Genomic DNA, 25,352 nt, shown 5'->3' on the forward strand with positions numbered 1-25,352 from the left:
GCCACACTTTGCATTTTTCCTTTAACTCTCTACCATGGGCATCTGTCCACATGAGAATGTGTGTTCTGATGGCTCTAACTTGACTCCAGGTGTTATTCCCCAGCCCGACAGCTTCCTCTCCTGGCTTCGCGTCTCTGCTATGTCTTAGACCTCATCCATAGCCACCTTCCCTGCTTTCTCACGAGGCACCCCCATCTCCCTCGACATTTTATTACATGGAGCACAACATTTATTATCTGTCCAGCAAATCCCGAAGCCTAGATTCATCTCACCAACCGTCTTACTCCCTCCAGCACCTGCACCTACACTGTGAAGCCCTGGGGGAAAAGAAACATCACTGTGCAAATTTAATCCACTACAAGTTGATTGGTTTTGACTGTAAATATATCCTCTTCAAATATTCTTTTTTTTTCTTTTCTTTTTTTAAGAGATGGAGCCTTGCTCTGTCACCCAGGCTGGAGTGACGTGGCACAATCATAGGTTACTGCAGCCTCAGACTCCTAGTCTCAAGTGATCCTCCTGTCTCACTCCCCTGAGTGGCTAGGACTACAGATGCATACCACCACATCCAGCCAATTTTTAAATTTTTTATAGAGACAGGGTCTCACTCTGTTGCCCAGGCTTGTCCTGAACTTCTGGCTTCAAGCAATCCTTCTGCCTCAGCCTTCCAAAGGGTTGGGATTATAGACATAGACGTGAGCCGCCGTCTGACGCCTTTCAAATACTTTTTTTTTCTTTTTCGAGACAGAGTGTCACTCTATTGCTCAGGCTGGAGTGCAGTGGCAAGATCTCAGCTCACTGTAACCTCCGCCTCCTGGGTTCAAGTGATTCTCCTGCCTCAGCCTCCCAAGTAGCTGGAATTACAGGCGTGTGTCACTATGCCCAGCTAATTTTTGTATTTTTCGTAGAGATGGGGTTTTGCCAAGTTGGCCAAGCTAGTCTCAAACTCTTGACCTCAGGTGATCTGCCTGTCTCGACCTCACAAAGTGCTGAGATTACAGGCATGAGCCACCATGCCCGGCCCCTTTCAAATATTCTAATCTGAAATTGTCTACCCTAAAATTGCCAGTAACTTTTAAAGTTTCCTAAACACAGTAGATTCAAAGGCCTAATGGGATGAAGTCATTGAGGAGGAAGGAACTCAAAGTGTATGGACATGGGTGCCATTGAGCAGGGCAGGCATGTAACTTGCGAAACACCTCTTCCCTCTTGGGGTATTTGGAAGATTACTTTGAATGGTATTGCATTCTTCTTATAGCAGATGACTGTTTTCAGGCATGCTTTTTAAATTTTACAATCTTAAATATTCCAGCAGCCTCTCAGCCCCATCTCTCTACTTATGTCTTGCCCTTGAGAAATGATGGGTGGGAAGAATATCAGTAATGCCCTTAGTGAACTGGGAAGACAGCAGGAGTCCCTAGCAGGAAACAGAAGGAAACCCAGCAAAATACTCAAACCCATGGGGAGGTGTTGCCCTTTGGGGCAGACTTTGAAGGCAGGTTACTCCCCTTAGTAGGATGTCATTGGGCACATTTCTGTTTCTGTGCAAGGACTGTTCCTTGCTCATACACAGGACCCTTTTTGGGGCCTAGTGCTTTTCAGATTTAATCCTTTGTTGTAGAAGTTGAGGTTAAATATAATAAAAGGAGAGCTTTAGAATGGAGAAATTGTGTACCCAACATTTTCCCTGAGTCTTCTGGAATGTTTCAGGATCCATATCTGTACTAAAACAAATTCTCTAAGCCCCAAACTTAAAGGGACAGAGCAGGCACATTTTAAGGCCAAGGTGTAAGCCAGCCATAAATGTATTGACCAACATTTTTCATTTCACTATTGATTCTTTATTTTCAAGGATTTTTATCTTTATGTATGTATTTATTTATTTCTTTTTTGAGTCTCACGCTGTGGCCTGGGCTGGGCCACGGCTCACTGCAGCCTTGAACTCCCAGGCTCAATAAATCCTCTCACCTCAGCCTCCTGAGTAGCTGGAACTACAGATATGCCCACCATGCCCAGGTAATTTTTTTATTTTTTGGAGAGACAGGGTCTCACTATGTTGCCCAGGCTGGTCTTGAACTCCTGGGCTCAAGCAATCCTCCTGCCTTAGCCACCCAAAGTTCTGGGATTATAGGTGTGAACCACTACACCCAGCTTTATCTTATTTTAGATCTGCTGTAAAAACTGAGGTAACAACCAGCAACAAAATAAAATCCCAGTCTGCTTTGTCGTCTTTTATATTTGACTTCTGTTTAGGTCAGGAAAACAACAGTGCAAGACATTGTGTGTATTATGTGAAGCTGGAACCACATTTCATAGGACCATAAAATCTCATCTCAGATCTAAGCACTCATATTCATTCACTCAGTTAACACATTTGCTCAGTACCTTTCATGTGCCAGGCACTGTGATGGGATACAGCAGTGAGCAAAACAAAAATCTCTGTCCTCATGGATCTTTTATGCTGATGGGGAAAAGGAGACAAAATAAATTACCAGAATATATGTTTCAATTACTGAGGAAAGAACTATTGAAAATAAATCTGTGAAGGTGTGTGGGGAATTTCTAATTTTAAATAGGCTTACTGCAAAGGTGGATTTAAAATCTTAAAAAAGCCTTACCGAGAAGGTGACATTTGAGCAGAAGACCTGAAGCAAGTAAGGGAGTGAGCCATGTGAATATGTGGGGGAGGTGTTCTAGCTGAAGAGAGGCCCCAAGGTGTGTAACTTGAGCAGGTGAGCAAGATAGAGCATAGTAGGCAGTGGGCACAGAGAAGTAACAGGACCACATTATAGAATGACTCAGAGGCCACTGTGAGGATTGGCCTTTACATCTGAGCAAGATGGTTAGTTAACACTGGAGGGTTTTGAGTAGGCTTCGATTTTACCAGGGTCACCCTGGCTGCTGTACTGAGAATGGACCGTGGGGGTGCGAGGGGAGAAGCCAGGAGACCAGTAGGAGGCCTTCTCCCTCATCTAAATATGATCTGACTTGGGAAGGGTGAGGGGGTGGTGAAGAGGTCAGAATCTGTGAATCTGGCTGTGTTTTGAAGGTGGCCGACAGAATTTGCCAAGGGATGGGATGTGGAGTGTGGAGTTTCTATTTTCTAAGATGGGGCAGTCTGTGGGAAGAGCCAGGTTGGGGGATGGGGAAGAGTTAGTTTTGGATGTGGTAAGTGAGAGGTGTTTATTAGGTGTCCAAGCAGAGATGCTGAATAAACAGCCAAATATATGCTTTTGGAGTTTGGAGAAGGGCTTCATCCTGGATATACACAGTATATATTTGAGAATCATCAGTGTATAGATGGTATTTACAGCCACAGAATTGAAGAGATCCCCAAGGGAGTGGGTATAGATGAAGAAGACAAGATTCGAAGAGGCACAGGACTCTCCCCATCCTCCTGACCTATAAAATCAGGTGCCCCAAGGGCTCCTGGTATTGTATTTTTAGTAGAAACAGGGTTTTACCATGTTGGTCAGGCTGGTCTCGAACTCCTGACCTTAAGAGATCCGCCCCCTCTCAGCCTCCCAAAGTGCTGGAATTACAGGCGTGAGGCTCAGACCCTTGGGGCACCTGGTTTTATAGGTCGGGAGGATGGGGAGAGTCTAGCAAAGGACACTGAGAAGGAGCCACTGATGAGAAAGAAGGGTAACGGAGAATGTGGTCCCCAGAGGCCGAGGCAAGAAAGTGTTTCTAGGAGGAGGGATTGGTTGATTTGTCACTGATGGGTCAGGTGAGATAAGGACAGAGGATTGACCTTGGGTTTAGCCTTCAATGTTGAGGTCATTGATGTGAAAGCAGCCGTGATAGAATAGCCAGGTGGAGAGAGAATGGAAAGAGCATTTGCAGGTGGACACATCTACAACTGTCTTGAGGACTTTTATTTTACTGGCAGTGAGAAAAAGAGTGGAAACTGGAGGATGGCGTGGTTCAAAGAGGACTGTTTGTTTGTTTGTTTGTTTGTTTAGAGACAGTCTTACTCTGTTGTCCAGGCTTGAGTGCAGTGTTGTGATCTCAGCTCACTGCAACCTCCACCTCCGAGGCTCCAGTGCTTCTCTTGCCTTAGCCTCCCGAGCAGCTGGGATTACAGGTGCCTGCCACCACACCTAGTTAATTTTTGTATTTTTAGTAGGGACAGGGCTTTGCCATGTTGGCCAGGCTGGTCTCAAACTCCCGACCTTAGGTGATCTGCCCACCTTGGCCTCCCAAAGTGCTGGGAATAAGCCAAGGCACCCGCCCCAAAGAGGACTTATGATAGATTTTTTTTTTTTTTTTTTTTGAGACAGAGTCTTGCTCTGTAGCCCAGGCTGGAGTGCAGTGGCGTGATCTCGGCTTACTGCAAGCTCCACCTGCCGAGTTCACACCATTCTCCTGCCTCAGCCTCCCAAGTAGCTGGGACTATAGGCGCCCGCCACTACGCCCAGCTTATTTTTTGTATTTTTAGTAGAGATGGGGTTTCACTGTGTTAGCCAGGATGATCTCGATCTCCGGACCTCGTGATCTGCCTGCCTCGGCCTCCCAAAGTGCTGGGATTACAGGCGTGAGCCACCGCGCCCGGCCAGGAGGACTTGTGATAGATCTTTAAGCAAGGTGTGTATGTGGATGAGTGTGATCAGTAGATACGGGAAAAGTGATGATTTAGGAGAGGGAAGGATTGCCGTGGGTGTCCTTGCTCTGGCAAGAAGGGATGGGACCTAGTGTACTGTTGGAGAGGTTGGCCTCAGTGAGCTCGTTCATCCGTGGTAACTGGAGGGAAGGCAGAGACATGGGGCATGATGCTGGGAGGTAAATGTGGCAATTGCTCCTGATTCCTCAGTGAAGTAGGCAGCATGGCCACCCCACCTGTGAGTGAGGAGGGAGGCAGCAGCCAAGTAGGATCCAGGAGAGCTAATAGAGCAGGAGTGTGGAGCGGCTGCTAGGCTGCATCAGGGACCCTCTGGCCAGCTGGTGGTTTGAAGTAACAGCAGCCAGCGTGCTTAATTGTGTATCTCCAGCTATTTCCAGCTGTGCTGCTGAGTTGGATTTAACCAGGTTTGTGGTTTTAACAAGTGAATACCAAAAAAGTGAGAGAAGAACACAGGATGTGAGGACATCTTTGGATGTTATGAAAGATGGAGATACTGTTGAGCTTGGAGTTTGAGCTTGCACAGGGGGCATGTGAGGCCACAAAAGGAGTAAGAGACAGTGAAAAGACTGTAGGATCTGTCGATTTAAGTGGAGTCCAGGGCTTGTTGGAGGTGATGAACATTTGAGCCAGTGAGTTGGAACAACGGGAGGAGGTGGTTTGACACTGGGAAGCTTGAAATGGAGATAATGGCTGGGACTGCTGTCATTGATAAAGGCAGGGTGGAATGCGACCAGAGGAGGGAGTGCTTTGAAATTGGATGAAGACCAGAGTCGCTGGAGGAGAGGGCAGAGGATCAAAAGGTCATTGTTTTGGAAGGATCGTTGATATAGATGTAATCACCAAGAATCAGGAGCGAGGAGGAGTGTTGCAGTGACAGTGAGCCAGGAGCTGAGGGCCAGTGACCTGGGGTTGGTAGATGACAAGAACAGGAAGGAGTAGGGGCGGTGTGGTCTGATCACATGGGAGTCAAAGCTAGAGGTTTCTGGAGGAGGGAGAATGGTCTGGCCCAGCGCTGGGGCCTATGAGAGAAAACAGGCACCACCAGCAAGACTCCAGTGAGGCAGCATCCGTCAGGGACAGCCAGGTTTTCATCAGAACAGGCTCCAGAAAACATTCTGAGAAGAGGTTGAGGAACTAGAGGGTGTTCTGCTGGTGACACATGAGTTTCAGGGCATAGTGGAAGGGATTAAGCAGTTGAGGGGGGATACATTTTGGGATTCATATGTGGGAATGGAAGGATGACATGGAAATCCTGGACTTCTGGTGGTGACTAATATTCAGAGGGTAGAGGGCATAATGGGATTAGTCCTGCCCATTAGTCCTAGTGGGTAGTAGTCCGTTCTGACGCTGCTGTGAAGAAATACCAGAGGCTGGGTAACTTATAAAGAAAAGTGGTTTAATTGACTCACAGTTCCATATGGCTGGGGAGGCCTCAGGAAAACAATCATGGCAGAAGGGGAGGCAACCATGTCCTTCTTCATGTGGCGGCAGAAAAGAGAAGTGCAGAGTGAATCGGAGAAAGCCCCTTATAAAACCATCAGATCTTGTGAGAGCTCACTCACTATCACAAGAACAGCGTGGGGTACCGCCCCCCATGATCTAATCACCTCCCACGAGGTCCCTCCCCCAACACGTGGGGATTACAATTCAGATCACAATTGGAGATAAGATTTGGGTGGGGACACTGAGCCAAACCACATCAATCCTGATGGTCTCAGGCTGCATGGAGGAGAAGTCTTGCCAGAAGTGTGCAGCCTTATATGATTTCCCTCAGATATGGACTTTGATATAATTTTTCTGCTATTTGCTAAAAGCTGGTGGTGAGATACATAACAATAACTGTTATTTAGTGAATACCTATTTTCATCAGTCAGCATGCTAGGTGTTTTGCACACACGTTTCTGTATTTAATCCAACAACCCTGCAAGGCAGTTACTGCGCCCATTTTACACATAAGTTAACTGAAGCTGAGGCAGGGTTACGCAGCTTTCCCTGGTCTCCTAACAAGATGGAGTTGACTCGTACCCAGGTCTGACTCTAGATTGATATTTTGATTTTCAGAATTATTCCAAGGAGAAGGTTAAATCCTCACTGAAATAATTTAGGAAAAATTATAATCCCACGTTTTCCCGAATAGAAACAGAACAGTGCTGTGCTTGCGTGTTATAAGGAGGATTTGTTTCCCTTGGGAGCTAAGAATATTTAAAAATCCTTAGCAAAACATAAATAAAATACAATTCCATCCATAACCAAACATGATTTAAAATATTATAAAATTCCCAACTAAACACATGACAGGGAGAGGCTGCAGGGTGTTGTGCTGAAGAGCATGTTCTCCGGAGCTCAACTCACTTGGCTCAGATCCTGGCTATGCCGATGCTCAGTTGTGTGACTTGGTGCTCCAGTTTTCTCATCTGTAAAAGATGAATAAGGGTTGTTTGGAGGATTACATGAGGCTTGATATATACAAAGTACATGGAACATAGGAAGCACTAAACAGATGTTACCTATTACTACATTAATGTCACCTTAGTCTTGCTATTTCCTTCACAATTGAACACACAGGTTGACTCACCTAATGAAGTGAGCACTGGATTGAGGTGTCAGATTTGCCATTTTGGTGTAATATTGTCTCTCTGCTTAACTTATTTTAAGTTTGGTGTCTGTGCTTCTGATTTCTTAGTGTGTATACTTTTTTGTTTTTCCATTTTCCACTTTTTAAGAATGAATCTTTAAGGTTCATATAAGGTTTAAAATATCAACTAGTGGTACAGATATGGCTGTATTGGAAATAGCAATGCAGACAGAATGAAAACATTGGCTGACAGGTGGCAGCAGTGGACTATGCTTAAACATTCACTTAGCTGCTTCACTGCACCTGCTTTAGGGATGTTAATAAATACATACATACAAAAGAGTGGGCTGCTTAGAAGTGAACCATGCCATTTTTTTAATCACCTTATGTAATAAAGTTTGAATTTATTAAAAGATGGAATTATGGCTGGTTGTATAGCTGGTAAATTTCAGCCTTCTGGAGTCATGTTTAGCCTGATTTTAGACATCTGAATGTCACATGCTCTCTTGTTCACTGCTGAATCTCTATCACCTGACACTTAAGGAGGGCACTTAACATCTGTTGATTATTTGAACATAAAAATTTGTCTGCTTGTTACTAGAAAGCCATTAACTCCAGAATTCCTAAGACATGACCATGGGATATTACTAGGAGAGACTAAAGTTCCATTTTTGTTCTACATGGGATTTTTTTTTCTCTTCTAGAACTTATTTACATTTAAAAGGTAAGTCGATTGAAATTACCAAAAAGAACGTATCAAAGGAAAACTTGATGACGAGTCTTTAGAGAAACACAGTAGGATTAAAATTTAAATCTGATTGAGCTATGAGGAATTTAAAAATTTATTTATTACCAATATTAATGCACTTAAGTAATTTAATGGGACCAGCACTTTTACTCTATTTGTGATATTGGTATGAAAAACCTGGATATTTTTTCTGAATTTGCTTTCCACTTCCTTTTAATACAGTTTACGTTTAATAAGAAGGAGACCTGTAAGCTTGTTTGTACAAAAACATACCATACAGAGAAAGCTGAAGACAAACAAAAGTTAGAATTCTTGAAAAAAAGCATGTTATTGAATTATCAACATCACTGGTAAGGCATGAATATTTTCGATTTTGGGGTTTATCCTTTCCATATGAAATCTTTGTTGCTTTGACTATATAAATTACTTGATTGTGTAAAATATAGCAAATTAATTGATTTCCTTTTTTTTGTTACTAGTGGTCGTAGCTTGAAGTAGTGACTCTTAGTTAAAGATGACAACATCATTTAAAGTATCATCTTTTAACTGTGTTTAGATTACTGTAATATCTGGTACTTCTTTTGATACATAGATCTGGTACATAGAGTAGTTATTTTTATTCACATACAGGCATACCTTGGGGATACTGAGGTTCAGTTCCATGCCACTGCAATAAAGCAAATAACACAATAAAGTGAGTCACATAAAGTTTTTCTTGGTTTCCCAGTGCATATAAAAGTTATGTTTATACTACATATAGTCTATTAAGTGTGCAATAACATTATGTCTAAAACAACTCTGTAAGTACCTTAATTAAAAAATACATTATTGCTTACAAAAAAAAAAAAGGCTGACACAAAGACAGAAAGTGAACACATGCTGTTGAAAAAATGGCACTGATATAGGCATGGTGGCTCACGCCTGTAATCCCAGCACTTGGGAGGCTGAGGCGGTTGGATCACGAGGTCAGGAGATCGAGACCATCCTGGCTAACACGATGAAACCCCATCTCTACTAAAAATACAAAAAATTAGCCAGGTGTGGTGATGGGCTCCTGTAGTCCCAACTACTTGGGAGGCTGAGGCAGGAGAATGGCGTGAACCCCAGAGGCGGAGCTTGCAGTGAGCTGAGATCGTGCCACTGCACTCCCGCCTGGGCGACAGAGCAAGACTCTGTCTCAAAAATAAAAAAAAAAGAAAGAATGGCACTGATAGATTTGCTTAACGCAAGGATGCCACAAACCTTCAATTTCTAAAAAACACCATATCTGCAAAGCACAATAAAGTGAAGTGCAATAAAACGAAGTATGCCTGAATAGTTAACAGTAGCATATTATGCTTTGGGGAAAAGGACCTGGGTCAGTCTTCTAGTGAAAACATTGTTTTATACTTGTGGGCTATGAAAAAAATCACAGGAAAACAAAACTTAACTTTTGTTTGATAAATAGCATCAACTTCAAATAAAACGCTTACATTTTGCTTAGCCTTTCATTTTGTAAACATGACATAACATTAACAAATTCTGTACCAGTTTGTATCAGAATCAAAAAGTATTTAAAACTGTCCTGTTTTTCCTTCCAAAGTAGTATATACTTATTATACAATATTCAAACATAGAATTTTTTTTTTTTTTCTGAGATGGAGTCTCTCACTGTTCCCCAGACTGGAGTGCTGTGGCGTGATCTCGGCTCACTGCAACCTCCGTCTCCTGGGGTCAAGTGATTCTTGCATTTTAGCCGCCTGAGTAGCTGGGATTACATGTGCCCGCCACCACACCTGGCTAATTTTTATAGTTTTAGTAGACACGGGGTTTTACCATGTTGGCCAGGCTGGTCTCGAACTCCTGACCTTAAGAGATCCGCCCCTCTCAGCCTCCCAAAGTGCTGGAATTATAGGTGTGAGCCACTGCGCCCGGTCAAACATAGAATATTTTTAAAGACTTTCAAAATCCAACATTTGAAGTATAACCATTGCTATTCTTCTGAGTAATTTTGCTTGGAAATGCCTATATTCTGTGGGGATCATAGTTTACATATGTTTTGCCTTTTCTAGAAAGTGTAAGATGCTTTCAGTGGCGAACAGGAGGACTGTGTTCATGCACTTCCTTTTGGATATTTGTCCTGTCAGTATATTAGATCACATTGTTTGCTCACGCCAATAAGGTTAGGAACCGTGGATCTCAGCTGAGACCTGACCAGATCCTGTGGCCTCGCATTCCCTCCTACCCCTTAGTTTTCCTCCTCCTCCACCCCACCCAACCCCCATATGCATAGAACCCTGGGTTGCTGAGTCCTGTGCACAGCCATGAGCTAGTTTGTGATGGGAAGGATTCATTCTGACTGACCAGACCTGGGTAACATCTACCTGAACCCCATAAGAATGGGTTCTGTGTAGGCTAGTGGGGCTCTGTTGGAAGGAGGGAGATGGTGCTGTTAGAAACCTGCCTGTTATGCTTGTGTCAGCTTCTTTGTCATCTGACCCTCAGTGCAAATAGGAACTTTAAAGACTCCTTTGTCTCCCCATTTCTTTCATTTCTGGTAAACGAAGAGCTTGTTTCCCCTAAACTACCATAGAAATACTGCTTATTTGCTAGATCAATGCATATCAATTGCATATCAACCTGGGATATGTTTACTTATTGTTAAGTAATTGAAATTTCCTTGTTGTTTTTCTTTGTAATCTTCAAAATAATATTTAAGCCTCAGTTCTTATCTTCTCATATTAGCCCTATCCACCTGCGTTTACTGCAATAGCTATCAGTTTGTTGACTAACTGAAAGAATGACTGTTAAGGTCTGTGGATGATTTTTTTTTTTTCTTTTTTTTTGAGACGGAATCTCGTTCTGTCACCCAGGCTGGAGTGCAGTGGCGCAATCTCGGCTCACTGCAAGCTCCGCCTCCCGGGTCCACGCCATTCTCCTGCCTCAGCCTCCCGAGTAGCTGGGACTACAGGCGCCCGCCACCATGCCGGCTAATTTTTTGTATTTTTAGTAGAGACGGGGTTTCACTGTGTTAGCCAGGATGGTCTCGATCTCCTGACCTCGTGATCCGCCCGCCTCTGCCTCCCAAAGTGCTGGGATTACAAGTGTGAGCCACCGCGCCCGGCCTTGTGGGTGATTTTTTAGCTCTTTCTTCTACCCTCTGTGCTTAGAATACTGTTTAGTCAGCCCGGCACCGTGGCTCATGCCTATAATCCCAGCATTTTGGGAGGCCAAGGCAGGCAGATCACCTGAGGCCAGGAGTTCGAGACCAGCCTGGCCAACATGGCGAAACCCCATCTCTACTAAAAATACAAAAATTAGCCAGGTGTGGTGGCAGGCGCCTGTAATCCCAGCTACTCGGGAGGCTGAGGCAGGAGAATTGCTTGAACCAAAGAATACTGTTTAGTCTTGCTCCTGAAGGTAGTAGAAGCAGTTCTTCAGTAGCCTCCTGACAGGAAAGTACTTAGAGATATTTTTAACTAATTTATGATGCAGTTAACAAAGATTTCATTATAATGCCAAGATGCTTAATAACAAGAAAGAATAAATACAGTAGTGTACAAACTAAGCAAGCATCAGACAGTAAAATTTACTGAATGATTTGTAATCAGCATATCAATTGCAAACTTCAACTATTCTGCTTTAAAAAAATTACCTGAGAAAGTGCTGGTAAATAATGATTTTGCAGTTGAATCAGAAAAGTTGATGATTTTAAGTGTAACCCTTAAATCAGTTCAGTATACATTTGGAAAATGTTGATTCACATTGATGAATTTATTGAAACCATTATTTGAGTATATTCTGTCCATGACCTATTTCAGAGAGATTTTACTGTATAACTTGATTTTAAGCATAGACAGTAGAGTTGACACATAAAATACCATGTACCCATGGGAATTTACAGTATTCTGTTAGGGAGTTTGTGAATATAGCACATTTTATTTTATACTTTGCACTAAGACATACTAGGGAGAGCATAATCATTTTCTAAATCATAAAGCAATACATGCCGATGAGAAAACACAAGCAGTACAAGAAAATATTAAGTAAAAGTAAGTCTTCTGTCAGTCTCAGCCTCATTTCTATTCTACAGAACTAACACTATTATTTCTCATGTGTGTTTCTATATTTACTATGCATATGGAGGTATAGAAAAGGGTGTGTCCCTTTTTAAAATAATGCAACTAAAATATTGTACACGTTATTCTGCAACTTGCTCATTTTATTTAAGAAAATATTATGGACTTTTTTCAGGTCAAGTAACATTGTAAATCTATAACCTCCTCCGTCTTTTCCATAATTTCATAATTCACTGCATGAATCAATCATAATTTCTCACCCATGACATTGGAACCGTGCTGTAGTTTATTATTCTCACTATAAAGAACAGTTAATAATAGTTTCTTATATAAATTGACGAATACTTTTTATTTTTTTATTTGTTGTTGTTGTTGAGACAGAGTCTCGCTCTGTCTCCCAGGCTGGAGTGCAGTGGCACAGTCTCGACTCACTGCAACCTCAGCCTCCTGGGTTCAAGTGATTCTCCTGCCTCTGCCTCCACCTCCGCCTCCTGAGTAGCTGGGACTGCAGGTGCCCGCCACCACGCCTGGCTAATTTTTGTATTTTTAGTAGAGACGGGATTTCACTATGTTGGCCAGGCTGCTCTCGAACTCCTGACCTCTTGATCTACCCACCTTGGCCTCCCAAAGTGCTGGGATTACAGGCGCGAGCCACCGCTCCTGGCCATACTTTTTATTCTTATTTGGGGCTTTAGCACATAATTTGAGGATCTTTTTGGCTTACTCTGTCAGTAGCTGCTAAGCTATTTTGTGATTCCTGAAACTATTGCTTTGATACCAGCACTGGACACTTAAAACTCTCTTCAGCTGTGCTCTGTGTGGTTTGTGATTATACTTCTTGCCTGAATTTCCAAATCTTGATGACATTTTATTTATAAAAATATAATTAACTAGTTATCAGAGTACTTACCATTTCTTAGTATCATAGAACCACTGGACTATAGCTTATTGAATTATAAAGGGGTCTTGAAGATACTTTAGTGAGTTCCAATCCCAGATCCCACCAAGTTAGCAAAGGAGAATGATGTGCTGTTTTCAAAAATTCAAAATCCTAATGAATACTCCAAATGTACTCATGTTAAAACTACATAGAAATGCCAACTGTGGGCTACCCTCTTTGGGTCACCTCCCTTTGTATGGGAGCTCTGTTTTCACTCTATTAAATCTTGCAACTGCAAAAAAAAGAAAAGAAAAAAAAATGCCAACTTGTTAAATGCCAACTTTCTTTGCTTTGGGCTGTAATTTTCTGAGTGCATTGTGACAATATGGGTTATTCTGATTAGAAACTTTTGGAATTAATTTATTGGAAAAACAAGTAGTTACTAAGTGAAGCTTGATTGGTAGAACTGTTTCAAATGGAGTCCTTGGAGAGCAGACAGAAGTAAAGGAAAGGAGTTCTTCGTGATAAAAAGTTGGGAGTCATTCAGCCTTTATCCTTGCGAGTCTTCTTCCCATTATTCAGTCTGTCAGATTGGAAATAAGAGTTTTAATTTTTTTGATATTAGAAATTTAAATAAATACTACTTGTTAATTTAGGAAGACAGTAATTGAAAATCATATTCTTTGGCCAGGCGTGGTGGCTCACACCTGTAATCCCAGCACTTTGGGAGACCAGGGTAGGAGGACCACTTGAGCCCAGGAGTTTGAGACCAGCCCTGGCAACATAGTGAGACCCCAACTCTACAAAAAATATTTAAAAATTAGCCAGGTGTGATGGCATGCACCTGTAGTCCCAGCTACTTGGGAGGCACAGATGGGAGGATCACTTGAGCCTGGGAGGTTGAGGCTGCAGAAAGCCATGATCATGCTACTGCACTCCAGCCTGGGTGACAGAGCAAGACCCTGTCTCGAGGGAAAAAAAGATATCCTTTAAGTTTTCTTAAATTTATTTCAAAGGGATTTTTTTTTAAATGCTTCCTATTACCAGAAAAAGCTATTGTGTCAAGGTATTATATAAATGATACATTTAGGATGTTGGCTTTTATAAAACCTAAATTGTGCTTTAATTTCTCATTTTGTAACTAGCACTATAATTTTTATGTAGTACTTTCCCTCCAGTATGGTAGCATGAAGATACTATATATTGCTAGTATATATTCATTAATTGAACTTCATCTCTATCTAAAAAATTAAAGCAATTAACGGATTCGTTAAGCTTTCAGAAAATCTGAATTATTTATTCTATATAACAATGCGTTTATGCTTCTAATATTTTATAGTCTTTTCATTGGAACCACTAGCCTGCTGATTATAATAATAAGCAGTTTAATAGTATAGGTGATTCTAAAATTTTGTACACTGGGTACTGTTAAATAGCATTTAAAGGTGACGAGACATGTTTTATTAGGTCATTAAGGTACACCTTGGGTGAATATAGAATCATAATTTTACTTCCTAAGGCACACATTAATTAACAAATAAAACATGCCCTGGAGTGTCGTCTTATGACTGTAATATAGCTGCTATATTTTGAGTAGTTTTTTTATTTGTATCCCGCAGTGTACTCTGGGCGCAGGGGGCCACATGCTTGGACTGTAATGTAGTTATATGGTGCTACAGAACTTTATTTTCTGCTTTTATTATTTAAGTCCTTTTTCACTATAGAACTTGAAAGATTTGGTTCGCTAGCTTTGCAACAGTATTTCTTTTAGAAATAACTTGGATTTATAGTTTTCACAGAATTTTTTTGTATAGCTTTCACTTTTCCTCCTGGCTCTTTAGTTTAATGTTTTCCTATATCTTGCAATTGTATTCCTTTTTTATTGAATAACCTGAGTAATAAGAGGCATTTCCTTCTCTACTGTCTAATAAACTGTTCCTGAGGAACTAGATATATTGCTTTGTGTACCTATTTAGAGCTGTGAGTATTCTGCTAAAGGTAAATTACAGTGAAGTGTCTAAATAGTATTGTTAAATTAGCAATTACAATAAATTAGTTTATAAAACTCTTTCCTACCTACCATTTATCCTTTCAAAAAAGGTACGAAGTTTTTTTTGTTTTTTTTTTTTTCTTTTTTTAAGGCTAGTCAAATGAAGCAGTGCTGTACCTGGTTGTGATCAATTAGTTGTAAACACCACTGCACTCGGACCAGCCTGTAGTTTTTTCCATCACTGCAGTGTATCAGATACTGGCATATTGTTATTGCTTATGAAATAGCACATTTCATTAACATTCTTTGTGGTTTTTGTAATCTTAAGGCATTTACACATTTAAATTTTACAAAGTGATGACACTGATTTGGGCAGTAATTCTTTGTCATGTTTGGTGGGTTCTTTTCTAACTTAACTCCTCTTTCCATGTGTAGGATTGTGGATAATATGCCTGTAACGTGGTGTTACGATGTTGAAGATGGTCAGAGGTTCTGTAATCCTGGATTTCCTATTGGCTGTTACATTACAGATAAAGGCCATGCAAAAGATGCCTGTGTTATTAGTGTAAGTTCATGATAAACTCTTTGCTGCTTTTTAAAACATGGCTTTTGATAGAATTCAGTCTTTACCTGGACAAAAATTGTTATATTCATTGAATGAGTGTACAGTTCAGATGTTCTGAAGTACAACTACTTCAATCTTAAACTTACAGCAGATTAATAATGTATAAGTTGAGGTTTAGAATTGGAATAATTCAGATTCAGTTCAACATTTACTGAGATTGTCTGTTGTATGTTAAATGCTATGGTAAGGTCTAGAAGTTTGTCCTAACTCTCATAAATCTTATATATTACAAAATGTACATAGTAGAGTGTCAAAAAAGGCTTCATTATAAGTTAACTAAATTTGTATTGCAGAAGTCAGATATTATAACCTTTTTAAGACCTATGTGTCTTTGAGGCCATTATTATATTTAAAAATAGATTAATCAAATAGAGACATTACTATAGAAGGTAATTAGAACTAGGTGGGGATATATATTAAAATGAATTTTGTGTAATCAGATCAACCTGATTTAAATCTCTTAATGGATCTGATTCAGTGGAAGGTAGCATGAGTTAATCATGAAACTGATTATATCAGTTAGTGCTTTTGTGAGTGCTGACCAGAGATACTTGAATAATTTAGGTTATGAGTTTAGTCCAAACTTATAAGCTTCCAGGCAGGAAAAGTGTTTAAATGTATAAGCATTAGTGTGCTCATAATATTTTAAATTTTATTTTGTTTCATTTTAAATGAAAGGCTAGAAAATACTAGATTAGTGTTCTTTTGAATTGGTACTTATTAGATTTTATGTAAAAAAACTGTAAGAAGCATATACCTTCCCCAATTAATTTTTGGCTTAAAAAGAGTTTAAGTATAAAATTGAAACATGTTAATGTGAAAGGCTTAAAATTCCATTCAAACTTAAATTTTCTTACTTGTTGTAGCCCATTTTAAAGTTTTAAGTTTTGACTCTTATGTAGTCAGTTTTCTACCTTTAACTTTTAAGTTCTGTTCTGCAGTCAGATTTCCATGAAAGAGATACATTTTACATCTTCAACCATGTTGACATCAAAATATACTATCATGTTGTTGAAACTGGGTCCATGGGAGCAAGATTAGTGGCTGCTAAACTTGAACCGAAAAGGTAATTATATTAATGATAAAAAGTAAACAAGTATAAGTGAAATTTAGACCCAAAGAATAAGTATTTGGGGCTCAATTACTCCTTAATATTCTGACATTTCAGGATTGATTTCACTAAAACTCCCTTTGGCATGATTTGTTATTGTTATGGGTTGTCCAGAAAACCATACCAATAGTTATTTTCCTGTCATGATAAGCGGTCAAGCCAAGGTGCCTTAGTGTTTTGTTTTTCAGTCAGGAGGTTTTGACAGCTTTTCCACGTGTCAGTGGGGAGGGAGAAGTTGAGTGGTTGGGACAGTGGTCCCCTTCGTGGTGGAAAGAACACTGCCTCAGATAATGTGTGGCTTTCCTCTGGTCAGAGGCCCAAATGAGTGGACAAGTACTGTGATTTCTCAAGCCCCTATGCAGTGTTAGATGCCACTATGAAATACGAGCCATTGAAAGAGATCTCTTCAACTTATTATTTTTTATCACGAACGTACATATCAGTTATTTATGAGATTTTTTTTTTAAATATTTCATTTTTTTTCACGACTTTTTCTGCCATTGAATTAGCCTTTTTCTCATGCACTGGTGGTCAAGAAATACATGCCATAATAAGATGGCAGTTAAACTTCATCAGTATTTTTTTTTTTTAAATAAGATTATTTAGCCAGGCACAGTGGCTCGCACCTGTAATCTGAACACTTTGGGAAGGCCAAGGCAGGAGGATCACTTGAGGCCAGGAGTTCAAGACCAGCCTAGGCAACATAATGAGACCCTGTCTCTACAGAAAATGAATTCGCTGGGCATGGTGGCATGTGCCTGTAGGAAGCTGAAGTGAGAGGATCACTTGAGCCCAGGAGTTCAAGACCAGCCTGGGCAACATAGTGAGACCCTGTCTCTACAGAAAATTTAAAAATTAACTGGGCACTGTGGCCCGTGCCTGTAGGAGGCTGAAGTGGGAGGATCACTTGAACCCAGGAGTTTGAAGCTGCAGTGAGCCAAGATCACACTACTGCACACCAGCCTGGGTGACAAAGCAAGACCTTGTCTCAAAAACAAAACAAAAAACAAAAAAGGCCAGGCATGGTGGCTCATGTTGTAATCCCAGCACTTTGAGAGGCTGAGGCAGTAGGATTGCTTGAGCCCAGGAGTTCAAGACCAGCCTGGGCAACATAGCAAGACCTTGTTTCTACAAAAAATGAAAAATTAGCTGGGCGTGGGGTGTGGTGGCACACACCTGTAGTCCCATCTACTTGGGAGACTGAGGTGGGAGGATCACTTGAGCCCAGGAGTTTGAGGCTGCATTGAACTGTGATGGCACCACCGCACTCAGGCCTGGGTAAGAGAGCAAGACCCTGTCCCAAAAAAAAAAAAGAAAAAAAAAAAGATTATTTAAATGCTCTTCAAGTATAGTGTTTTCAAAAGTATGTTTATAATTTTGTACACATATGATGTAAATATTTATGCTATTAAGTGTGACATGAATAATTTCACCTTTGTCAGCAGCATTTTAAAATACGTACAAAATCTGTAACCTTTACCTCATTTTTAAAAAGTTGTACTTTATCAGCATCTTGCCAAAATGTTTCTTCCCACAGCTTCAAACATACCCATATAGATAAACCAGACTGCTCAGGGCCCCCCATGGACATAAGTAACAAGGCTTCTGGGGAGATAAAAATTGCCTATACTTACTCTGTTAGCTTCGAGGTGAGTCTGTTGTTATCTTTAGTATAACTCTGAAATTGATTTTAAATTTGTACTACTTAAACTAATTAAAATGTTACTGATTATGCTTGTCAAATAAAGAAGCTATTAATGAGCTGATTTTTAGGATAGTTTGTCGGTGTACCAAGCAACATAATCACTCTTGTAACTGAGTCTTAGTTTAAATGAGAATATAGAGGAAGTTGAAGACTTGAGCCTGATTTAGTGTTAAGCATAAGAGATACATATAAGACAAAAGTAGAAAACAGGCCTAGAGGACGGGATGGAAATGCCAGAGATATATTCAGAAACCATTTGGGAAATCAACACCGTACTTTAAAGGATTTAAGTGTGAACTTTAAATGGAGAGCTTCCAATTGGTAGATTGTCTTAGAAAATTGAAGGGAGTGTTTTCATTAACGAAGTTTCTTAAAATGCAAATTCATTGTTATGAGAATCTTAGTATTCTACCTTTATTTTTTCACCATTTTTAAAATCAAGATTTAATTATGAACTTTAAATGAAGAGTTTCCGATTGGGAGATTGTCTTAGAAAATTGAAGGGAGTATTTTTATTAGCGAAGTTTCTTAAAATGCAAGTTTATCATTAAAATGCAAGAATCTTAGGCAGTGTTCCAACTCTATTTTTTAAAACTTTTGGCAATCCAATATAGTTGTGATGTTTAATATCCCCGTATAATGTTTCATTTTGCAAACCTGGTGCAGTAAATAGTATATATTTCTAGATATTAAGAGCTCAGTGTGCCTGGAATGACTGGTCTGGTTAGCTGCCCCCGGCATAAAGAAAAGAATAATTATTCCATTCCATTCCATTATTTTCTTAAAAAAAAAAAAAAAACCTACATATAGGTCTAAATGTTGACATCTAAACATCTAGTTATAATTTAAAGCAATACTTTTAGTAGGTATTACTAGGAATTCTTTTTTTTTTTTTTTTTTGGTTGCATAATCTTACTCTGATTTCCCCTAGACTTTAGTAAATCTGAAACTCTCCAAATCTCAGGACTAACCAAAGTTAGATAATTTAGAAATTGCAGTTGTTGACTCAATGGAAGGACAAGCTTTGAATGGGATTTTTTTTTGTTCTTAATGTGCTGTCAGCAGATGTTTACTTAAAGAGATTTTTTAATCTCCTCTAGGAAGATGATAAGATCAGATGGGCGTCTAGATGGGACTATATTCTGGAGTCTATGCCTCATACCCACATTCAGTGGTTTAGGTAAGAGTACAGAGTTAGCCTGCTTTTGCTTTCTACTTTTCTACCCTCTGTCCCTTTGAACATCTCATTTACTCTCAAATCCTCTCTACTTTATTCAAAAGTCTGGCCTTGGGTTCAAATCCTGGCTTTCAGCCACTGATTGTGAGTCACAGCAGGTCCCTTAATTTCTCAGCGTCTGTTTCTTTATCTAGAAATACCCACCTTATGGGATTGTTGTGAGGATTAAAGGACATCATGGGACAGAATATTTGAGGACATTGTCTGGCACATAAGAGTGTTCAGAAACAGAAGCCGCTGTTGTTGCTATGACTTTATTATTATCCCCTTCAAACATGATTCAAAACTTTTATCTAGAGTTGTTCATGTTGCCATAACTCTCCTTTTCCTATTGCTGTCTGATCTTTTTGACACTCACTAATTTACTGAGTAAAGTTGTTCTTCAGTAAATTTCTTGAGGGCACAAGCCAGTCCTTTGTTGTGGCAGTGATTTGGGCACAGTAGTTATTTCATAATATTGACCATGTACCAAAAAATTCTAGTTCTAAACAGACTATGAAACTGTATTATGATAAGTATATAATGTTATTTATCTACTGGAGGGAAACATGAAAGAACACAGTTCATTGAATTTGTTGGATTTCAGATAGCTTTCATTTTGATTTTGATCAAGACTGTTTTAATGTTACTCAATAAACAGTTTTTAAAAGAGTTTTACTGTTCCTAGGATTAAGCTACAGATTACTCATGATGTGCTTATTTCTACAGCATTATGAATTCCCTGGTCATTGTTCTCTTCTTATCTGGAATGGTAGCTATGATTATGTTACGGACACTGCACAAAGATATTGCTAGATATAATCAGATGGACTCTACGGTAAGTGGAAACATTTTAGTCTTTAGTCTGCCAAGGACACTGTTTATTGTTATTTTGCAAAAAGGTAAAATAATAGCTTTAGAATCTGCTTTTAAAACATTCTTCAAAAAACAAAAACAAAAACAAAAAAATTCTTCTCAAAAGTTATCTTGAATTCACATTTTCAAATAAGAAAGTGATACTTAAGAATTAATATTCTTGGCTGGGCGCGGTGGCTCACACCTGTAATCCCAGCACTTTGGGAGGCCGGGGTGGGCGGATCACCTGAGGTCAGGAGTTCAAGACCAGCCTGACCAACATGGTGAAACCCCATCTCTCCTAAAAACACAAAAATTAGCTGGGTGTGGTGGTGGGGACCTGTAGCCCCAGCTACCTCGGGAGGCTGAGGCAGGAGAATTGCTTGAACCCAGGAGGCGGAGGCTGCAGTGAGCCAAGATCGTGCCACTGCACTCCAGCCTGGCAACAGAGCAAGACTCTGTCTCAAAAAAAAAAAAAAAAAATAGAAATGGAGTCAGCACAGCCTTGGGAGCTGACCTGTTCACAGCCTCCTGTGTGGGAATGGACTGGTGCAGCGTGGGGTGTAGGTGCACAGTTACAACTCTGTAAGGTTTCTCCATCCCTGACACATACCTGTTTGTGAAACCACAAAGTTGAATGGAATAACTCCTAAGCAATTTTTATTTGTGTGGTTAATTTTTTAAAATTAATCTTAACAAATTTGTATCATTTCAACCTTTTGATATATTTAAAATAATTGCATGTTCCAGCCTCTTTAGTCTCAAACTTTTTAAGTTGCACAGTGTTACACATTTTCTACTCTTCATTTCATGGCAGCATAATAAAAGAATTTTCACAAGAATCACAGTAATTTGGAATGAATGCAAAAAACTCAGGTTTTTATTGTATTCTCTTCCCCCAGCTTCTTCAGCCTCCTGTCCCCCAACCTCTCTGACCTGTTCTGATTGGGGAAAATATATATGAATATTCATAAGCTTTTAACGTTTGTACTCTATAGTCTCTTTCCTATGATTTTTATTGATTTTATGTCTTATTAAATATTAAAATGATTTTAAAATACTCTGTTTATAATTGGCTGTTCCACATAATTGCTGTTAATGGAGTTTTATCTTAATTTGCACAGCGTTGCCATGTGGAACCAGGCCAGTGGTGACTCTGCTTCCACAACCCTGTCCTACTTCCCATCTCTTAGCACAGCAGTCAGAGTGAAACTGCTCAAACAGAAGTCAGATCATTTCACTCTTGAGCACGGCCCTCCAGGGACTTCTGTTCAGTCAGAGCAAGAGTCAGAGGCTTTACAGTGGCTTCTAAGGCCCCACGTTACCTCAGCACTCTGCTGCACCTGTGCCGGCTACCTTGCTGTTCCTCAGACCAGGCAGACATAGGTTTCCACCTCAGAGCCTTCACGAAGCTCACTGTTTTATCTGCTAAGAAGGTCTGCCCCTCATTTACATGGCTAGTTCCCTTACCTCCCTCCGATCTTTACAAAATGTGATCTTCCCATTGAACCCCTCCCAGCCATCACATATGTTACATCCTGTCCTGCACACACCCATACATCCTGTTTTTCTGTACAGCGCTTATTACCATCTAATGTACAGTATACTTTCCTGACTTATTTTGTTTATTGTCTGCCTTCCCAATGAGATCATGTACTCCTGAGAGTAGGAATTTTTCTGTTACACTCACTGTGGTATCTGGTGTTTTAAACAGAGCCGAGCTTATAGTTGGTGCTCAATGAATGTTTACATCCATGCTTACTGTATTAGCAAAGTAGCTAGAATATGAGAGCTAATGCCATTTGCTTATTGTGGAGATCATTAAGAGTAGGATGAAGAGGATAGAATGTGACTAAAAATCGTCATCAAGTCAGATCACAAAGCTTGACTTAGAGTAGAATTAGGTAGCAATCACATTGTCTTTGTAAAGTTTCTCAATAAGTATATTTGTAGACCTTAATGTCATAAATTTAAGAAACTGACATATAAGACAGTTCAGCAAAGCCATATTAAGCTCCATGAGTCAAGCTGTATTCTTCAAAATTGAAATAGGTACTAACATTTTTAAGTTTAAAAAAAACCTGTTTTCTGTAACAGCATATTCAACAGTGAACAAACTGTCTATAGTTGTCTTGTTGATACCATGAGACAATCGAACTGATTTCATTCCCCTTTTAGGAAGATGCCCAGGAAGAATTTGGCTGGAAACTTGTTCATGGTGATATATTCCGTCCTCCAAGAAAAGGGATGCTGCTATCAGTCTTTCTAGGATCCGGGACACAGATTTTAATTATGACCTTTGTGACTCTATGTAAGTGTTAACTGAAAATTTTCAAGTAGAAAATACTTTCTAAATACAGTAATTGCTTAAAAACCAGTTTTTCTGGCCGGGCATGGTGGCTCATGCCTGTAATCCTAGCACTTTGGGAGGCCAAGGCGGGTGGATGACAAGGTCAGGAGTTTGAGACCAGACTGGCCAATATAGTGAAACCCCGTCTTTCTACTAAAAATACAAAAACTGGGCATGGTGGCAGGTGCCTGTAATCCCAGCTACTTGTGGGGCTGAGGCAGTAGCTTGAACCTGGGAGGCGGAGGTTGTAGTGAACTGAGATTGCGCCACTGCACTCCAGCCTGGGTGACAGTGCAAGACTCCATCTCAAAAAAAAAAACAAAAAACACCACAGTTTTTCTAAGTGGGTAGGTAAGCCAGATTATTTCTGAGCATCCTTTAGGTTCTCAAAATCTAAGTGACTTGGGGCAGGTTTAGTTGCACCCAAAGACTGACTCTTGGTTTCTCCCTTCAGCTCTTCCTAGACCAAGCCTTTGTCAGGGAGGCACTGGGCTGGAGATGAACAGGTCCTTAAGACCATCAGCATCTGAGTCTAAACAGCCCAGAACTGGGACCATTTAGGGTCTCTTTTACCCAGGCATCGTGGGCAGGCACAGTCTGGTTAGGGTTCCAGGATATTCTTGGCTTCCACGGAGGGAGGAGGGTGGGAAAAGAAGGGATGGGGCAGGAAGCACTGTGTAGATCCTTCTCATCTGGGGAGGATTTGGGAAGCAGGATCTCTCTCCTCTAGGGAAAGCGAGTGTGTAGGAAAGACCTTCCTTCCTCCATAAAAAGATTCTCTTCTTTGAGCTACCTCAGCGACTTCAGAAATTGTATTTAAATTTTTGCCAACTAGGACAATTTTTTTTTTTAAATAAATGTTCCTTAGAGGTATTGATAGCCACAGGGATTGTTCTGAAACTACCTCTGGGTATATGTTAATTCCACTGTCTTCCAGTTTCCTTAATTGGAAGATAAAAAAGGTTTATGAATAGAATTTTCTAAATTTTACCTTTATTTAATGTATTTTACTTTATTGATGCCTGCTACTGATAAATAGCAACAAATGAATATACTGGGAGAATTCAGAAACTAACCTTTAATAATTTTTTAGTAAACATTTATTTTTTATGTTTGATTACATATTAAATACATAATACCACAGTTATTTTTGTTAGTAAAGTTGTTCCAAATTTTTATGATAAAATTAATTATATAAATGCTTTGCAAAGAGCAGTATCATTTTCAAATGTCTGGCACTGAATAAGTTTGGGAACCAAACTCACACCTTCAGGTTCAGTTTGAAGACTGACTAGGATATCTTTTTTTTTTAATCTACTAACAACTTAAGGAGATACAATTTTGATAGGTAGAGCTAGAATTTGTAACTATATCATACTAAAGAGAAGTTAAGTCATACTAAAGAGAATAGGTCAGGAAAAGGTGTCATAAAAAAGGTTTGGACAGAGGGTGGTAGGGTGAAGGCACTGGGTGACAGAGAGCCAAACTAGACTTAGAGCAGAATGAATGTTTGAAGATAAACTTCTGCTTTCTTTCTTTCTTTTTTTTTTTGAGACGGAGCCTCGCTCTGTCACCAGGCTGGAGTTCAGTGGCGTGATCTTGGCTTACTGAAACCTCCACCTCCTAGGTCCAAGTGATTCTTCTGCCTCAGCCTCCTGAGTAGCTGGGATTACAGGCGCCTGCCACCACGCCTGGCTGATTTTTGTATTTTTGGTAGAGACACGGTTTCACCATGTTGTCCAGGATGGTCTCAATCTCTCAACCTCGTGATCCGCCCGCCTCGGCCTCCCAAAGTGCTGGGGTTACAGGCGTGAGCTACCACACCCAGCCAACTCCTGCTTTCAAATCTTATTAGGAGCTGTCTTCTGCGATGCTCTGGTTTTTATTGCGGTCAGCTAGAAAAGTGAACTTTTAAGGAAGGAAAGTTTCAGAGAGTCTAGGATAGAATACGATGGGAATAATTTTCCTTAAGTCCTCAAATAGGAACTTTCTGCCGAAGGGCAGTCCATTTTTCAGGTCGAGGAGGAGAAAGGGGTTGCATTTTAGCTGAAATCTTGTACATCTTCTAAAGCTACCCTGATGTGTTTCCTGCTCATCATGACTCTGGTGCTTGTCAGAGGTGTGTGCGCGTGCTTGCTCACATACGTGCTTGGTCATGCACGTTTTAGGGGAAACAATAGGGGGGGAAACAATGGGGATTTTCTTGCTGAGCCTCCTGAAACTCAGTTCTCAGCAGTATCCTACTCACCTTGGGATTCTGAGCACCTTATAACTTCTGAGCCCCAGCTTAAAGCTGGGAATTTCTATGAATATAATATAGCATTTTAATTCTCATTAGTAGGAAGGCTTACATAGGGAAGAGCAAACAAAGCTAACCACGTGAATAAGGTAGGGCCAGGGTTTCCCCGTATTGCTGACAAGGTCCTTCCGTAATTTGTGAAAAGCTAATGGCCGTATGAAATCTTTCTCCCTCATTTTGTTCTTTCATTAGATTATATATGTCTCTTCTGTTTGAATGTTGTAAGGTTTTGGGTTTTTTTTTTTTTACCCCCAGAGGACCCCCATATTTTTTAATGAAAGAACAGTGGGAATATTTTGTAGTGGAAACATTTTCA

General features: G+C 40.2%; 1 protein-coding gene and 1 pseudogene across 1 annotated transcript in view, besides 4 other annotated features; one reads left to right on the top strand and one right to left on the bottom strand.

Moving 5' to 3' along the window:
• The window catches only part of TM9SF2 (transmembrane 9 superfamily member 2), a 62,577-nt gene that overhangs the window by 19,826 nt on the left and 17,399 nt on the right, over positions 1 to 25,352 (top strand). Inside the window, exons 4-10 of the mRNA NM_004800.3 lie at positions 8,170 to 8,297; positions 15,311 to 15,440; positions 16,442 to 16,566; positions 18,149 to 18,260; positions 19,417 to 19,496; positions 20,262 to 20,370; positions 22,566 to 22,698. Of these exons, the coding sequence (NP_004791.1) occupies positions 8,170 to 8,297; positions 15,311 to 15,440; positions 16,442 to 16,566; positions 18,149 to 18,260; positions 19,417 to 19,496; positions 20,262 to 20,370; positions 22,566 to 22,698 (817 nt within the window). The remainder of the gene's footprint in view (positions 1 to 8,169; positions 8,298 to 15,310; positions 15,441 to 16,441; positions 16,567 to 18,148; positions 18,261 to 19,416; positions 19,497 to 20,261; positions 20,371 to 22,565; positions 22,699 to 25,352) is intronic.
• Positions 7,353 to 7,402: a silencer, noted in NCBI's record as "silent region_5471". NCBI's record gives its function as "represses an Ori minimal core promoter by ATAC-STARR-seq in GM12878 lymphoblastoid cells {active_cell/tissue: GM12878}" and the evidence as "EXISTENCE:reporter gene assay evidence [ECO:0000049][PMID:35858748]".
• RNY3P6 (RNY3 pseudogene 6) lies at positions 15,022 to 15,099 on the bottom strand (annotated as a pseudogene).
• Positions 21,534 to 21,603: a silencer, noted in NCBI's record as "silent region_5472". NCBI's record gives its function as "represses an Ori minimal core promoter by ATAC-STARR-seq in GM12878 lymphoblastoid cells {active_cell/tissue: GM12878}" and the evidence as "EXISTENCE:reporter gene assay evidence [ECO:0000049][PMID:35858748]".
• Positions 21,954 to 22,013: an enhancer, noted in NCBI's record as "active region_7952". NCBI's record gives its function as "activates an Ori minimal core promoter by ATAC-STARR-seq in GM12878 lymphoblastoid cells {active_cell/tissue: GM12878}" and the evidence as "EXISTENCE:reporter gene assay evidence [ECO:0000049][PMID:35858748]".
• Positions 24,981 to 25,130: an enhancer, noted in NCBI's record as "active region_7953". NCBI's record gives its function as "activates an Ori minimal core promoter by ATAC-STARR-seq in GM12878 lymphoblastoid cells {active_cell/tissue: GM12878}" and the evidence as "EXISTENCE:reporter gene assay evidence [ECO:0000049][PMID:35858748]".

The sequence above is a fragment of the Homo sapiens genome, chromosome 13 (assembly GCF_000001405.40).
Source record: "Homo sapiens chromosome 13, GRCh38.p14 Primary Assembly".
NCBI lineage: Eukaryota > Metazoa > Chordata > Mammalia > Primates > Hominidae > Homo > Homo sapiens.